The sequence below is a fragment of the Homo sapiens genome, chromosome 6 (genome assembly GCF_000001405.40).
Source record: "Homo sapiens chromosome 6, GRCh38.p14 Primary Assembly".
NCBI lineage: Eukaryota > Metazoa > Chordata > Mammalia > Primates > Hominidae > Homo > Homo sapiens.
In genome coordinates, this window is record NC_000006.12 from 65,786,528 (window position 1) to 65,803,630 (window position 17,103).

The 17,103-nt window shown below is 35.5% G+C and overlaps 1 pseudogene across 1 annotated transcript; it reads left to right on the forward strand.

Annotated features, from left to right (window-relative positions):
• Positions 1 to 1,351: 1,351 nt before the first annotated feature.
• Positions 1,352 to 2,956, forward strand: SLC25A51P1 (SLC25A51 pseudogene 1; annotated as a pseudogene). The gene has a single exon (NR_026540.1). The product of NR_026540.1 is annotated as an SLC25A51 pseudogene 1 (transcript).
• Positions 2,957 to 17,103: the final 14,147 nt, after the last annotated feature.

Below are 17,103 nucleotides of genomic sequence, written 5' to 3' on the forward strand. Positions count from 1 at the left end.
TTGGAAATGCACTGCCAAGTTCAGGAATATTTTGATCTGAAGATGATTTTTCAATTTAGAACACAAAAGAGAAAACTTCCATGAGGAAATCCTTTTTATTATCTGTCTATAGAAGTAACATAGAAAACCTCTTTGTCTCCGTATTTCAGAGATTAATAATCTGTTACACTTTAATTTATTTTTTATTTGTTATTTTCTTATATATATTCTTATTTCCTCTTTGATAAATTAAGTTTCTATAATGTGTACTGATACCAATTAACTGTGATATCCACAAGGCTTTTATCAATAGTATTATTCTTGGCTTCCATGGTCACTCCATGGTAAGAGCATAATATTTGGCTAAAATTAACTTATGATTTTCCTAAAATATGCCTGGCTGTGCGCAGTGACCAGACCCCATGCTTGCTCACCCACACACCCCTCCCCTGGTGCTCTGTGCCTGGCTCTCCCTTAGCAGGCGTGGGATCCAGGCCGGTAGCAAGAGAGGAGCGCAGCCTGCTAAGCCTAGCGGGCCGGGCAAAAGGAGCCCAGCGGCGCAAGCAATACTCACACAGAGATGCTGCAGCCCACACAGCTTTCTGGCTGGCACAGTGACACCCCAAGGATCCTGTGATAGTATTTTAAGCCCATCTGATCCTATTAGTCTTCTTGGGCAGTCATAACAAAATACCACAGATTGGATGGCCTAAACAACAAGAAATCAATTTTCTCACAATTGTAGAGGCTAGAAGTCCACGATCAAGGTGCTTGTTTATTCGATTTCTGCCAAGGCCTCGCCTCCTGACTTGTAACTGGCTTCCATTTTATGTAACCTCACATGGCCTTTCCTCAGCGCACTAAGAGAGTGAGCGACCTCTCTGGTGTCTTTTCTTATAAAGACACTAATCTTGTCGAAACAGAGTCCGACCATTATGACCGCATTTCACCATAATTACTTAATTAGAGGCTCCATCTTCAAATATATTTAAGCTGGGAGTTAGAGCTTCAAAACCTTTTTTTTTTTTTTTTTTTTTGAGGAGGGAGGCACACATTTTCCATCCTAATGAGATCTTGTCTAATTTAGGCAGCAAATGAAGCACTGAGCCAACAAAGTTTAAGGTTTCTCCTAGCATTTAACACAAAGTAAAAACCAAACACCAGTATTTTGAGATCCACTTCACAACGAGAGAAAGGTAAAAGCAATTTACCTTACCTCACCCTACAACGAACTTGTTTGTTCCCAACAAGAGGATTAGAAAAAACACAACAGGGCCGGTCTGGGCAGCCGACCGCTCTAGGGGTCCACCCCAGTCCTCTGCGCGCGCCGGCTGCCCTGGCCCAGTCGCTGTGGACCCCACCCAGGCGGCGCGCGCAGAATCAGTTCTGAGCCTCCTCGCCTCCCGGCTCTCCCGCCTGTTGCGGGTGTTTATCCGGCTGCTGGGCGACCTTTCCCGGGAAGGAGGCTGTGCCTTCATTCGGTCACGCCCCGGTCTGGGGAGGCTCCTCCCTGGTGCGCAGAAACCGCAGGGGCGGGGAGGAGCCGGGCTCTGCCTGCGCCCGGGGCAGAGCGGGGCTGGCACCGCGCAAGGGGCCCTGTTTCCGGGGAGACTGATTTCGGCCTCCTGACCTCGGGACCCCTTGACTGTGGAGTGTCAGACGGAGGAGGACTTAGTGATCTTGTCCAACCCCCTCCCCGCTTTTCACAGGTTGGGGAGATGGGCGCCTGGAGAATGGAAATCCAGTTATCAAAATTGACTCCAGAAGAGAGAAACTAACAGAACAATAACAATGGAGGAAATTGAGAACATTATCAAAAAGCTATCATCCTGCCAAACTCCAGGCTCAGATTGTCTTACAGGTTAAAAAAAGTTAGTCCTTCATGAAAATGAAAGACCTTAAGCAACACGATGGATTCAGAAGCTCATGAAAAGAGGCCACCAACACTAACATCTTCAGAACAAGATATATCACCTCGTATTACAAATGTTGGTGAAATGAAGCATTACTTGTGTGGCTGCTGCGCAGCCTTCAACAACATCGCAATCACATATCCCATTCAGACGGTCCTCTTTCGACAACAGCTGTATGGCATCAAAACCCGGGATGCAATATTTTAGTTGAGAAGGGATGGATTTCGAAACTTGTATCCTGGAATCCTTCCCCCATTGATGCAGAAGACAGCTACACTTGCACTTACGTTCGGTCTCTATGAGGATTTATCCTGCCTTCTCCACAAGCATGTCAGTGCTCCAGAGTTTGCAACCTGTTGCATGGCGGCAGTGCTCGCAGGGACAACAGAAGCAATTTTCACTCCACCGGAAATAGTTCAGACGTTGATTCAAGACCACAAGCATCATGACAGATTTACCAACACTTATCAGGCCTTCAAGGCACTGAAATGTCATGGAATTGGAGAGTATTATCGAGGCTTGGTGCCCATTCTTTTCCAGAATGGACTCAGTAATGTCTTGTTTTGCGGGCTTTGAGGTCCCATTAAGGAGCATCTGCCTACAGAAACGACTCACAGTGCTCATTTGGTCAATAATTTTATCTGTGGAGGTCCACTGGGTGCCATGTTGGGATTCTTGTTTTTTTCCAATTAATGTAAAAACTCGCATACAGTCTCAGATTGGTGGGGAATTTCAGTCTTTCCCCAAGGTTTTCCAAAAAATCTGGCTGGAACGGGACAGAAAACTGATAAATCTTTTCAGAGGTGCCCATTTGAATTACCATCAGTCCCTTATCTCTTAGAGCATAATCAATGCAACTTATGAGTAAAGGTTATATGAAAAAAACCAACAGTTTAGTGCCATTTATCAACTGAATAGACCTTCTAAGAAGAATGCAGTTTGGCCTCTTTCTTAGTTGGCCAAATACAAGTTGGTGTCATAACTCCAGGCCACAGTGAGTTATGGGCAAAGCTGTTTTGCTTAAGCCTCAATAAAACAGAATAAAAGATTCCAATAGGAAAATATAAGGGATTTTTTTGTTTTGTTTTCTGTTTTTTTTTTTTTTTGATTTTTTTGTTTTTTTTTTTTATCATTACCTAAGAGCCTTAGGCTAATTGCCTGATAAATAGCTGTCCATCTGATGGCCTTTGACAGGGAACCTAATCCCCAAAACAGGATTATTTTTCTCAAACCAGTCTTGAAATCTTCTGCATTGAAACATAAGTGGCTGTGAACGGCCAGAGAGAAGGTCCTCGGGTGCCAGGGGCTCCTCAGGCTTCCTTTGTTACTCCATTGCTTGCGTCTCTGCCTTCAGGAGCAGCTGCAGAGCATAGTCTTCATTAAGCTCAAGCATATGACAATGGGGCAGAACAAAGAAGAAAAACAGCTTATTAGGTGTAGGCGTTTCATGATAAATTGCTTGTATTCGTTTTGAAACTAAGTACCTATTGTATAGTCATTATACTATTTCTGTTTAGATATGGTAGATCAAGGAGTTATGAAAGTTCCCATTTTGCTTTCTAGTTTTGAAAGTTTTCTGTTTGATTCTGACTGTGACCTTCAATGCTTCCAAAATATCCTTATGTTGATTTCACTTATTTCATTGCCAAAAGATGAAGGGACTTAAATGTTGTTATAGGTGTTCCATCTTGTTAAGAAATTTTCATACTAATTGTGTATAGATCAAATTCTGGTTAGCTTGGTTTCTTTGAATTATTGGGGCCATCTCAGCAAAGGTCTGTGGTTATTTTTCCTGTTGAGCAGGAGTTGGTCATACTCAAGCATCCTGTTCCCTTAAAACTCTCCTTTTAAAAGATAAACACTTCCATAACATTTTGTTTTGGAAGTCTGTTAATGCAATCCCACTTTTTTTTCCCCCTAGTTTCTAAATGTTTCAGAGTGGGAAAAAGGCTCAGGATAGTTTTCACAGTGTTGGCTGTCTTTTATTTCACCTTTGGAAATAGAGACTCCATTAGGGTTTTGACATTTTGGAAACCCAATTTTACCGTTGTGTTAGTAAAACAATAAGATAGTTTGAGAGAATATGCTCTAAATGAAGACATTTGAAGAGTTAGTTTGAATTCTAAAAGTAGGCAATAGCCAAATAGCATTCTCATCCCTTAATAGACGAAAACTTCTTTGTCAAAGGAATTGGAAAATGTGAAAATATTTTTTCCAGATAAAGCAAAATGATTCATATGGCACTTCCAATTGACTAATGAAATATAAGAGACAGACTGAAAAAGTGGATTATGAATCTTAAAACCCTTTCTGTAAAGATTTATTTCCAGCATCTGGCATGGTGGTAGGTTTCTTGTTAACCAGTTTTTCTTCTTTCTGAGTAACTGCATGTGAATATTTGCACATACTGACCAAAATAAAATCAGGGCCTCAACTTGGTAGTTTACTGAAAGTTTCTGGGCAAATAGCCCATAAAAGCTGTTTACATCTAAATGCAGTATGGCTGGTTAAATACAGTGAACATCCTTCTTTCAGCTGTAAAGGATGAAGCATATTAAGCATTAGCCAGGCAGTAATGAAGCTAAGTAACCATACAGCACCTCTGTCTGACGATATTGTGCTGGATATTGCAGTTTACATTCAAGGTGTAGAGGTAAGGATTAAAAAATAATAATTTGGCACCAAATAAAGATGAATAGCATCCTTTGACCTATTAAACAGAGTCAGGATTTGAAGGGAGTTGAATTTGAGAAATAAATGAATAAAGGCACCTTGGTGCCTGACCCACTAATTCATGTGCATGACTCTGAGCACTGACAAGCGTATCCAGCTACTCAGCACAGGGCAGGTGGGTTAGCCTGGGCTAATACCTTGGCCCTGGGAATAGACACCATTGGGCCTTTGGTTTGTTGGGCTTCCTTTTGTCTTTACACTCCATACAGATGGTAAAAATCTGAGTTCTAAAGCAGATTTCACTTTTGTGAAATACAAGCTAAGTGAGAATTCTAAGGAAAACTCTTTGGTTTCTGCTGTCTCAAATAAGTGATGTTTAAAAACAATTATTAATAAATACTTTTAATGGTTTTTAACTTAGTATTTTTTTTTATTTCTGTGTCACTCTTTACAGCTTTTGAAGACCAAACTGCAAATACATTACCAGGGATGGTTTTGTGTTGTCCTATAGACTTTTTAAATTTGACAAAAAAATTCAACAGAACTTGTAACCAACAGCTTTGTCTGAGCTTGAAGTCAAAATGTGTTGTTAGTAAGAGATTCTAACTGTTGTTTTTACCTTCAATGTGAACTAGTGTGGTAATAATTTTGAAAAGGCAGGCCGGCACGGTGGCTCATGCCTGTAATCCCAGCACTTTGGGAGGCCAAGGTGGGTGGATCACTTTAGGTCAGGAGTTCGAGACCAGCCTGGCCAACATGGTGAAACCCCATCTCTACTAAAAATACAAAAAATTAGCCAGGCATGGTGGCCAATGCCTGTGATCCCAGCTACTTGGGAGGCTGAGGCAGGAGAATCGCTCGAACCCGGGAGGCAGAGGTTGCAGTGAGCCAAGATCTCACCACTGCACTGCAGCCTAGGCTACAGAACAATACTCTGTCTCAAAAAAAGAAAAAAAAATTAAAAGGGCAAACATGATTGAATATCTGAATAGCTTTAAAAGTGGCCTTTCTGTTACGTATGTGGCACAAATGGCTCATGAGTGCAGGACATTTATGGTCTTGTGTCCTATACTTCATGTGTGATGCCACCAGAAATGTTATGAATTCTGTATTTAACACACTGAGAGTGATATGAGCCTTCATGACTGCACCACAGAGTAAACACAACCTTTATATGGTGGCGAATATGTGTGTCTTTCTTGTTTCATTTGTGGTTGGGGACAAAATCAATGTTTTTGTCTGCATAGTCGATATTCATCTTAACATGGTTGCCAGTATAATCACCGGCTATATTGTGAACTGTGCAATAAAACAGAATCGTGTGTATATATAATTACCTTTGGATAACTGAAATTCCCAAGCTCTGTTACAATGTAATACTCAGTATAAGGTTGTGCAAACATGTAAGGGGATAATGGTGGTCGATGGGATATATGAAATGGGATCTAGAGGGCTTTGAGTGAAGCCAATCATGCTGAACTAACACTGGTTCAGTGTAGATGAAGTAGAGTGAGGGGTATGCAGTCATAAAATGAAGGGTAGACAGGAGATTATATTTGAAGAAAGGGTAAGCACTCAGACTTGGTTTCTTTTAAATTAAAATATTTCTTTTCTCATGTGCAAATGCATATCAAAGACTTGATCAGGCATTCTCTTGAAATTTGAGGATTTTTAGTTTTTAATGCTGTCTTTGCTTAATATTAAATATATGTTGCCTAATGGCTCCCAAATTGTGTAGGAGTCTCTACATGTTTCCTCTTAAAGGTTCATCATTAAAAGTGGTTAAGTGCACAATGCTATTTTTGTTTGATAGTTTGACTTTTATGACCATATGAGTTTAAATGAAATCTGTTAAATGTTTCTGAATTAACATTTTTTAAAAATAATTAGGAACAAAATTTGTTTTTTAAGCCTCTCCCCTCAAAAGAAAAAAAATACCCAAACTTTTTAAAAGTCACCTGTGAAAAATAAATGTAATTAATTTAACACTGCACACTTATTAATTGCTTCAATCTGATGACAATTACTGAAAGACTGTCAACATTATTGTTTCATCTATGGAAATCATATTCTCCTCTGGTCAACTTTGGATGCACCTAATGATATGGGGAATATATTATCTGAAAAATAGAGCCCACATCTGAACCTACAAATACATGACTTAATTTGAAAATTTTTAAATTTTCCACGGGGGTCACATCAGGAGATTGTAGTAATTTACTATCTCAAGAATCTTATTAAGGCAATTCAAACATTGTTTAGTTACAAATCAAAAATAATGAGAGGACATAATTGAAGAACTTTTATCATTCATCTCACTGTGTCAGAAAGATTTCCCAGAAAAATAAGTGAAGCAGATACAATTTATTTCTCATATTTTTCAACATAAGGGCATGTAAACAACATATGTATTTAGATAATTTCAAATTCAAACAACAATAAGATACTACTACAAACCTGTTAGAATGGCTAAAATCCAAAACACTGACAACACCAAATGCTAGTGAGGATGTGGAGCAACAGGAACTCTCTTATATTGTTGGTGGAAATGCAGAATGTATAGTCACTTTAAAAGAGAGGTTGGCATTTTCTTACAAAACTTAACATGCTCTTACCATGTGATCCAGCAATCACACTCTTGAAACTTCTGTCAACACAAAAACCTGCACACAAATGTTTATAATAGCTTTATTTAGAGTTACCAAAACTTAGAAGCAACCAAGATATCCTTCAGTAGGTAAATGGACAAATAAATTGTAGTACATCCAGACAATGGAATATTATAGCACTAAAAGGAGATAAACTATGATACTGCAAGAAGAAATGAAGGAAACTTAAAAGCCAATCTGAAAAGGCTACCTACTGCATAATTTCAACTACATGACATTCTTAAAAAGGTAAAACCATGAAGGCAGTAAAAAAAAAATCAATGATTTACAGGGATTTGCAGGATAAGGAGGGATGCATAGATGGAGCACAGAGGATTTTCAGGGCAGTGAAACTGTTTTACATGATACTAATGTGGAGCATATATGTCATTATACATTTGTCAAGACCCAAAGAATGTACAACACAAAGAAGGATCCATCAGGTAAACTATGGACTTTTGGGTGATAATGATGTGTCAGGGTTGGTTAATTTTTTGTAACAAATATCCGTACTGGTGCAAGACGTCAAATGGGAAAGCTGTCTCTGTGGGTTGTGGAGCAGGGAAGATAGGAAGGGAGATGTGGAAACTCTGTACTAACTTTCTGTTCACTTTTGATCTGAACTTAAAACTACTCTAAATGTAAACTCAATTAAAAAAAATAAGGTCCGGAAAAGGAACTCTTTTTTTTTGTCTTCAATCACAACTTTTTTAGATGCACACGCCATTCAAGTGTATGCATGACTAAAGGGATCAAAGCAAAACTTCGATAATGAATTATAATTTTCACATATCGTTTGATCAGTTGGCACAACTGTGTGTACTGTGCCTGTCTCTCTTTATTATAATTATACTTTAGGACAGCGGTGCCCAGCCTTTTGGACTGGGACTGATTTCATGGAAGACAGTTTTTCCACGAATGGGAATGAAAGGGATAGTTTTGGAATGAAACTGTTCCGCTTCAGATCATCGGGCATTAGTTAGATTCTCACAAGAAGTGTGCCACCTAGATCCTTCACACGGGCAGTTCACAATAGAGTTTTCATTCCTATTGTGATCGCTGCTGCTGATCTGACAGAAGGTGGAGCTCAGGCAGTAATACTGGCTCACTGGCCACTCATCTTCTGGTATGCATCTGAGTTCCTAACAAGCTAGGGACCAGTACTGGTGGTCCATGGCTCAGGGATTGGGGATGCCTGCTTTAAGAAGTGATGTTAGAGGTTGAATTTTTATCAGAGAAGTGGGAATGCCTTAATCTCCTTTTCCTTTCTCTTTAATTTTTTGTTCCTTTCTTCTTTATTTTCCCCTTTTCAACTCATATTCAAATGATTTAAAGCAGTATGTTTATAATTTTTGTTTTTATTTTACATCAAACTGCTGCATTCTATCTAGTGTTTCAAACTTGCATTAGATCAACACAGAATAATAACTTTGGTCTTCATGGACCTCTTTGAGTCCATGGCCAGGTATTATGGGATTGATTAAACTTTTGTAACTTATATTTTTGTTTAAGTGAATATCTACTTTTTCTAAATAGAGGGTCCATATCTTTCATTAATTTTTCAAAGGGACCTAGGACACAAAATTGATTCAGAAATACATGCTGTTGTTCTTTCCTGTGATTTCATTATATTTGCTTTGATAATTATATTTTTATTCAAAGTTTGATACATTATATATGTTGATATAAGAAACTCTAGTTATAATTTGCCTTTCTCAAGTCAAATTGAATTGCAATAAAGAGTGGTTAAGTTCTAGTTATCTGAAGTGACTCCTAACTCTCACTACTGGTGATCTTATCTTCATGGAGAGTAATAATGTTACAAGCAAGAAATTATCAGGTTGGTTCCTAATACATTAGAAAACGTCATCTTTAATTGGTACAAATTTCTAATCTATGAATTTAATTCTATAGAATTATCAGTATCAGATTATCAACAAATAACCTATATTTTAGGAAATGAATTATATTTTAATTCAAATACCTCTGCTTTTAGTATCCACTCAGTTTTATTGTTATTTTATTATATGTATTTCCCTGTAATATATGCCACCTTGTATCCGAATATTTGGATTGCTTTTTAGAGTGTATTTATATAATTTTTACAACATAGTCATTTCAACAATTTTCTTGACTTTAAAAGATTCTAGGAATGCTCAAAATTTAGGTTCAAAAATTATTAGTGACCTGCCAATGTAAGAAAAATGGTACTTCTTTACTTATAATGTTTGTAGTTTTGAAGGTAAAATGTTTGATAGTTCTGAAACCCATTTAGAAAAAAGCATTTTAATAATTGAAAAATTTATAAATTACTCTCTGTAACAGTGCTATGTCTAGATCTCTTTGTGTTCATTTAACAAAAAAGAATGGTGTGTCATAAAAAGTTTCATTAAATGCCTCTTGTCAGCCAGATTCCTAAATGTACTAAGACAATAATCTCAATAGAAATTACTGACAGGACAGTCTGAATATTAGGGCTGCTTTGTATTCTGCTAATTTCAAAAGATATGTAGCTCAAGTGCAAGCATTCTATTGTATTCCAAATGAAAGTGGCCAGGATCCTACGGGGACATTTAATAAGCTCAAAAAAGCCTATATTATAACTCATTACAACCATAAAAATGGAAAAGAATATTTCTACTACTGTTTGCCTACTGTTTTCATTCTGCAATTCTCCAACTACCCGAGACTATTAAAAATGAAGAAAAAAATTTCTGTGCATTCTGAACCTCTGAAAATTAAAATTATATCTAAGGTTTTACATTCTATTAAGCATCTTACCTTAGTTCTTAATTAATTTATGAGGAGGCCATTTCAGCTATTTTGGTAGAAGCTTGAAAAATTGATTTGTGATACTCCATTTTGTCTATTTCATTTGCTGGTTGTATTGTTATATGCAGATCAGTTGACTGTGCCTGCCTCTAGAATAAAAGTTTCAAGTTGTATTTATGTAGCAAGTTGGCACACTTTATACTATTTCAACAGTGGTGGATAAACTTAATAGTATTTCATAATCATTTTCAAATTATTTACTGAGATAAAATAAAATAAAAATTAAAAATTAGCATGATTGTGTAAAATCATTTTGATATAATGTATTCTACCTCAAAAAAGTTACATTTTTAAAAATAAATACAAGATGTAGAGAATCTGTACAACTTTATTTTCATAATTTCTATTTAAGTACTTTTTACATGATCTATAAATATTTTTAAACTCTGTTGTATTATTGGACAAAAATAAAATCTGAGGAGACAAGTACATTAGTATAATAATATGATGATTAAATCCTTATCTTTAAAATAAAATTCAAGGCCATTGTAGATCATGGAAGACATCCAATAAGTTATAAATAGCTATGAAACAGAGTATTTGCTCTCAGAAACAAAATGTAGTAACATCGAGCATAAATAAAATATTAAAATTAAAAATATTAAAGAGTTAGAAAGATTGCACCATATACAATTAATTAACAAATTAAAATTTCAGGCAATAATTCTCTGAGAATGGCAATAACTCAAGGAACTAAATAGTTCTGGAATGACTTCAGGGAAAGTGGTTGGACTTCAGTTAGGCCTTGAAAGATTTATAGGTTTGGACGATGAAGTTGAATGGTGGTGACAAACAAATGTTATTAAAAGAGAAGTGCAAAGTCAAAATTGTGCACAATATTTTGAAATTTTTTTAAAAAATTGATTAAATCAGAGTTTGAGGCTACAAGTAGTAGAGGCCACAATTTAAAAGATACAGTGAGATAAAATAACAATGCTTTAAATAATTAACTAGTTTACACATGACATTAAAAGCAATAATTTAATTCAAATAATTAAAATTTAATTATTATAAATAATAATTTAATTCAAATAATTAAAATTTTTTGAATAAGTGAGTGGCATGATGAAAAAATATTCTTTCAGACAATTTAAAAAGAATCAGTTTCATAGGAAGAACTGAGCATTGTAACAGTCATATATTATTTATCTGTATTATGTATCCTGTTGATTGTTATTCTCTAGATATGTGGTAAAGCAATTTATTTCAAATATCATTTACTATCCCAGATGTTGGTAGTTTTTGTATACTGTGAGTTTGGCATGAGAATATGCAACGAATAGGCAAAAATTCAGCACAAATATGACAGGGTTACTTAATATCACAATCTTTACTCCATCTTTTTCCAGATATTTTAAAAACAACTGCAAAAGATGAATTTGAATTGAAATTCTCAGGCGGTGTGGGGATGGAGCAAAATTGGCTGGAGGACTGTGGAGGCAATTCAAATGAGATAAACGAATGTGTTCATTGGATCCATGGTAGGATTGAGATGGAGAAGATAGACTTGAAATACATTGTAGAGACAAAGAGAACAGAAGTCTGGATTAAATGGATGTGGCAAAAAGGGAGAGGGATGAGATAGAGTGAACTCAAGTATTCTAGCTTGAATAACAGACTGAATGATCATGCCACCAAATGAAAGGTTAATTATTGAAGTTGAGATTAATTTTAGGAGAAATGATAAGTACTTTTTCAGTATGCTGTGCTTAGAGAAAATTGTGGCGTGAAGAAAACTCTGGGAACCCTCAACAGTTAAGAGATAATTATTGGAAGAAGCTATGAGGAAGACTGAACAGGAGCAATTATAGAAAGTTATGAGGAGAACCAGGAGAGCACAGATCTCATGTGAGTTAAAAGAGGAGTGTTTCACTGAGAAACCAGTGATGAATGATGTTGAATGTGGTAGAGATGCCCCATAATATAATGTCTGCAAAATAATGAAGCATTCTAGTGAAGTATTAATTTAATGAGGCCCTTAGGTACAGTTTATAGGAAATTGGTGAATGTTTTTCTTTGAGGAAAAAAAAAATCCTTGATTTATATTCATTACAATGCACTGCAAGGATAGGATGCTCTATTTATTGTAATAAATTGTCTCTAGTGCACATTGAACTTCCCAGTTAATTAAATAACACCATAATTCATTTCTATTTATGTTTTAGTGTTTTCCCTGGTGGAATCTAAAACATCCTTAATATCTTGGATCAGAATGTATAGTGCATTTTTGGAGCTACATTAACTCTTTCCTCTTCAATCAATGCATCAAAGGCAATAATACACATGGTAAAGCCTACAGATGGAGGCAAATGGGGCTCATCGATCTGTATGATCAAGGACAGTTTTACATTAATTGTAAAAATGACCTCCTAAGATAGTCAGTTCTCTTAATGTGTAAATTACTTCCTGCGAGAATTGAATCATTTTTGAGTCAACAGTAATGTTTGCAGGTCATGATTAGTTATTGACATAGGCCAAGTTTACATGATATCCACAAAAGAAATGTTAAAAAGAGAGAATAGTGGGACTTTAATTCATACAGACATATTAGCATGTATAAATTTACACACACACATGTACACACACACACACACACAGACATAATTAGAATGTAAGATAACAAGGTTCCAAATTTCCTGTTCTCTTCTAAGTTTCTTTGTTCATTACCTGATTGAATAGTAGATAACAAATTGATTTAACAAACATACATTGATTGTGTACTATGATCCTACACTATTCTGTACTCTGGGGATACAGCAGGAAACATAGCTTATATTTCCCCTCATCATAAGGCTTATAATTAGTAGGCATTAAAAATAAATAGAATAAGTAAATAGTAATATTAGTAAGTGGCATGAAGGACCTAAAATAGAGGAATTTAACAGAAAGTAATGGGTTGATAGTGTTTAATGTAAGTTGGATAATATATTTTAATTGCCCATTCATCATCCACCCTGTTACTCCACCTCCACATAACCCCAGTAATTATGTGTCTAACCTCCTGACCTCTTGCAAACACTGGTCACAGGGGAAGATTATTCCTTTTAGAGCTCCAGCACACAGACAGCATGTAGTTGAGTACTAGGTTAATACACCAAGGTGTCTGAATGAAAAGTCTGTACTGTTAACCAGTATTTTGTTTCTAACAGGCCAGACATCTATCAATAACAATAAATGAAAGAACTCCTCCTTAACTTGAATATTTTGAAATGTAAAAAAAAAGAAACTATGTGTTTAAAGCTAATAATAACTTTGAAAACTTATAAAGTGATATTAATTTTCATTAAGGACATATGACACTTATTTTTCTGTATTTTTCATATGGTATGTTGATACATTTTTGTCCCTTTATAGTTCTGTAGTGGAGATCATTTCCTTGTATTAGGCCTGCATTAATATTTTAAAATAATATTATCTCTATATTGCTTTACATATTTTATTAAAATTATCTATAATTTGTGACACATAGAAACAGGCCACAGTTTATTAAAATTTATTCTACTAACAATGCTACGTATTGTTAGAGCTTCTACCCAGTAAAAAGTCTAAAACTAATAATAATTGGTGAACAACCCATTGTTTTTCACTTTTATGATAATATAGCTTTCCACAGATTCTATCTTTTGTTCATGTGTATTCTCTGCAATCCCTGTAGCAGCAGAAGAGTTTATGCTACTTGGTGAAAAAGTAACTTCCAGTTTCAGTTAGTTGAATAGAAATATGAACTCTGTCGCACTTTCTCTGTAATACTGCTCAATATTCCCTCTGATAACAGCAAGGTATGGGTTTGCTGTTTACTCATTTCTAATATGCAGAGTACACTAAGGTCTAGAAGAAAGAAGAGGTTACTGAGAATGAAGGAGTTGTGGACATCTATACACTTTAACAATGAAAGTACCTCTCTTCTTTAAAGGATTTCAAATTTATGCCATTAAACCTGTCTGTAAAACTAGTTTACATATGTGATTTTGTATGTGGTCAAGTTAGCATTAGCTCTATCAAACTCCCCCATTTTCTGTCTTCTGACAACAGGCTCTTGTTTTAAGACCATGGGAGTAAGCATAAATGTCAGTGGAACTATTCACTGTTTCTTGGATTCACTTCCATTACTGGCTGCAATTCTTTACTCCTTCTGGATTCATACTCTTTGCTATGTGATACTTTAGTTCCTTTACAAGAAGGAACTTAAAGAAGTGCAGTATATTTACTATCATTTCAGTTAACTTTGGATTTAGTCATGTGAATTGCTTTGATGAATAAAATGAAGTAGAATAGACAGTGTGCTAGATAGAATCCTAGACCCAAAGAAGCCTTGCATGTTTCTTCTTGCCATCTTGTGACTCTGCCATCACCATGAGAAGATCATGTCTAAGCTAGAAGGAGGATGACAGATGTGTGGAGCAGAGCTGAGCTGACTAGACCAGATGAGCTATCCTTTGGACTTGTGAGCTTAATAAATGCTGGTGTATTGAGATGTTATGGTTGGTTCTTTATGCAGCATTATTTGGTTTACAGTTAAGTGATACACATCCCATATACCTAGTCTCGATTATAAGTTAAATATGAACAATGCAACAGAAGTAGGCTAATCTGAGTCCTTCCCTAGCATTTTATATACCAAAACGTAGAAAAATAATCCTTCATCATCTAGGATCACTATGGTATATGGATCTTGAATATTTTTATGGACCCTGTAATAAAGAGAAAAGAACCCACAGTAGTGGAAAATGATGTTGACCAAAAGGGATAGGCAGAGTTAGAGACAGAAAAAGAGAGATTTCCAACATTTGTGTCCCTGGAGTCTGTTATTCTTAATACCATTTCCATTCTCTTTTTCAGTGGTGAAAAAGCCTGAGCAATATTGCAAGACACACACCACAAAATGTGAAACTTCTTGGGTTAAGGCCCTGAGAGTTGCCAGATCCTGAGCTAGAAAGATAAGTTTCCTCTGTCTTTCCTCTGCAAGAGATTCAAACCAATGACTGCTCGGTGCTTTAATCTTTTCCTCTCTTATTTACACTATGTTAATGATGTTTTATTTTTAAGTCTTTAGAGCATCTAGAATTATATTATTTATATATAATATGGAACTCAAATTTTATTTAGTCCATGTGTGTAGACAATCATCCTAATATAGTTTGTTAAACAGAATGTTCTATATCTTCAAAATGACAAACTTGTAATATATTAAATATCATATATGCTCAGGTTGGTTTTGTTTTTCAATTGTCTGTTTTATCTTTGCCCTGCCTTCAGCTGATACCAATTGTTTTAAGTACTGTATTTTTGTACTTGATAGACATGTTTATACATATTTATACAAATATTTGTTATGATCATTTCTCCACCATTCTTCTTTTTCACTTTTAAAAATATTCTTAATAATTTCTCTTGGCTAAATTTCAGAGTCAGCTTGACAAGTTATTTACAAGGTTTTCTGTGTTGAATTTATAAACTACTATGGTGACAATAGATGCTTTTATAATATTAAATCTCCACATCCAGGAATATATTCTCGCCATTCCTTCAGTTTATATTTTATTTTCTTTTGTAGCCTCATAGATTTATTCATGTCATTCTTACACATCATTTCTTAAAAAGAATTACATTTGGAAAACTTAGTAGAAAAATGGTGATTGAATTTTGTCTGCTACCTTTTGTGAGCGAAGCAATGTACAAGAATACAACAGGCTTCAACTTAACGAGGCCATTTGAAAGCAAAAAAAGAGAGAGGGAATTATATCACTTTTCTAATAAAGGTTATTTTGCCTCTGGTCAATGCTTCTAGATAGCTGACAAGTGGGGAGACTAGAAATAGTGATATTTGGGAAAGCCAGAGGGATATGGGGAAACCTAGTTCTTCCAGACTTATTCTTAAGCTATTCCCTTGTGAATTATTCTTCCAATAAATAAAATCCACTTGGAAGTATCCTGGGGGACATAAAGCCAATTAATACTGTTTTTCCAAGGGAGTATGTTGTTTCATGTTAGTCTATGGTAGAAACCAAGACAGAAACTGTTGATTAGAAAGATGTGTGGTTGATGGGAAAGAAGAAAATCACAAGTTTAGCATCCAGACTCAAGCATTGCTGTCTCAGCGAGAAGTCTAATACTGAATGTTTGGCAGTGGAGCCCTCCAGATTGAAAATGACATATGGTCATTTAAGTGTTAAGGGACAGGTATTGAGAAACCTCAATTCCGGCCAAAATGAGTCCAATATTTCTCAATACATAACACATCACCTTTGTGCTTAAAACTGGTTCATGGGAACATAGATATCTATATGATATTACTTTCAAAATAAGAATCTGTTGTCCAGTTTAGTGTCATATGGACAGTACCTAAAATAACACTCAAGCTAGGAAAACACAGCTAAAAGAAACTTTTCAGCCTATAGCTCTCTCCACCTCCAGGAACATGATTAAAAAATGGATGCACTATCACATCTCTGACTGACAGTGTATGGAATATTTTTTCTGCCTATTATATTGCTTCCTATTTCCCTATTTTTTAATAAAAATTTTATGATGATTATGATTGCATTTTGTTCTGTGGTGGAAATTTTTGTCATTTGTTAAATAGTTTGCCATGTCAAGAGAAGACAAAAATTATGGGTCCAAAGATAGAATGCTGGGGAAAAGTTTTACTGTTAAGTAGAAAACCCAGGTTAGGATATATGAGATGAGGGTAAAGAATGGAAACAGAGTGTGTTCTTTAAAAGCAGAAACAAAAAAACAGTCTCTATCCCATGTTTATAAAACAAAGTCTCAGAGTGATGCTGATTGGCTGATAATATTTGGACAAAATGCTGAACATCTGGATAAGTTCTTGTTTGCAATTTTTCCAAGAAATGGTCTTTACAGTTCACATGAAATGACCAATACTGGTTTATGAAACTTTTGTCATTTTAGAAAAAGTAAAGTTTGATGTAAGAATAGACATTATAGGTAAATGAAATAGAATAGTGAGTTCAAAAATAGACATATACAGTATAGTCATTTGATTTTTGACAATGTTGTCCAAGTAAATTAATGGGAAAAGAGTAGCTTTTCTTTTT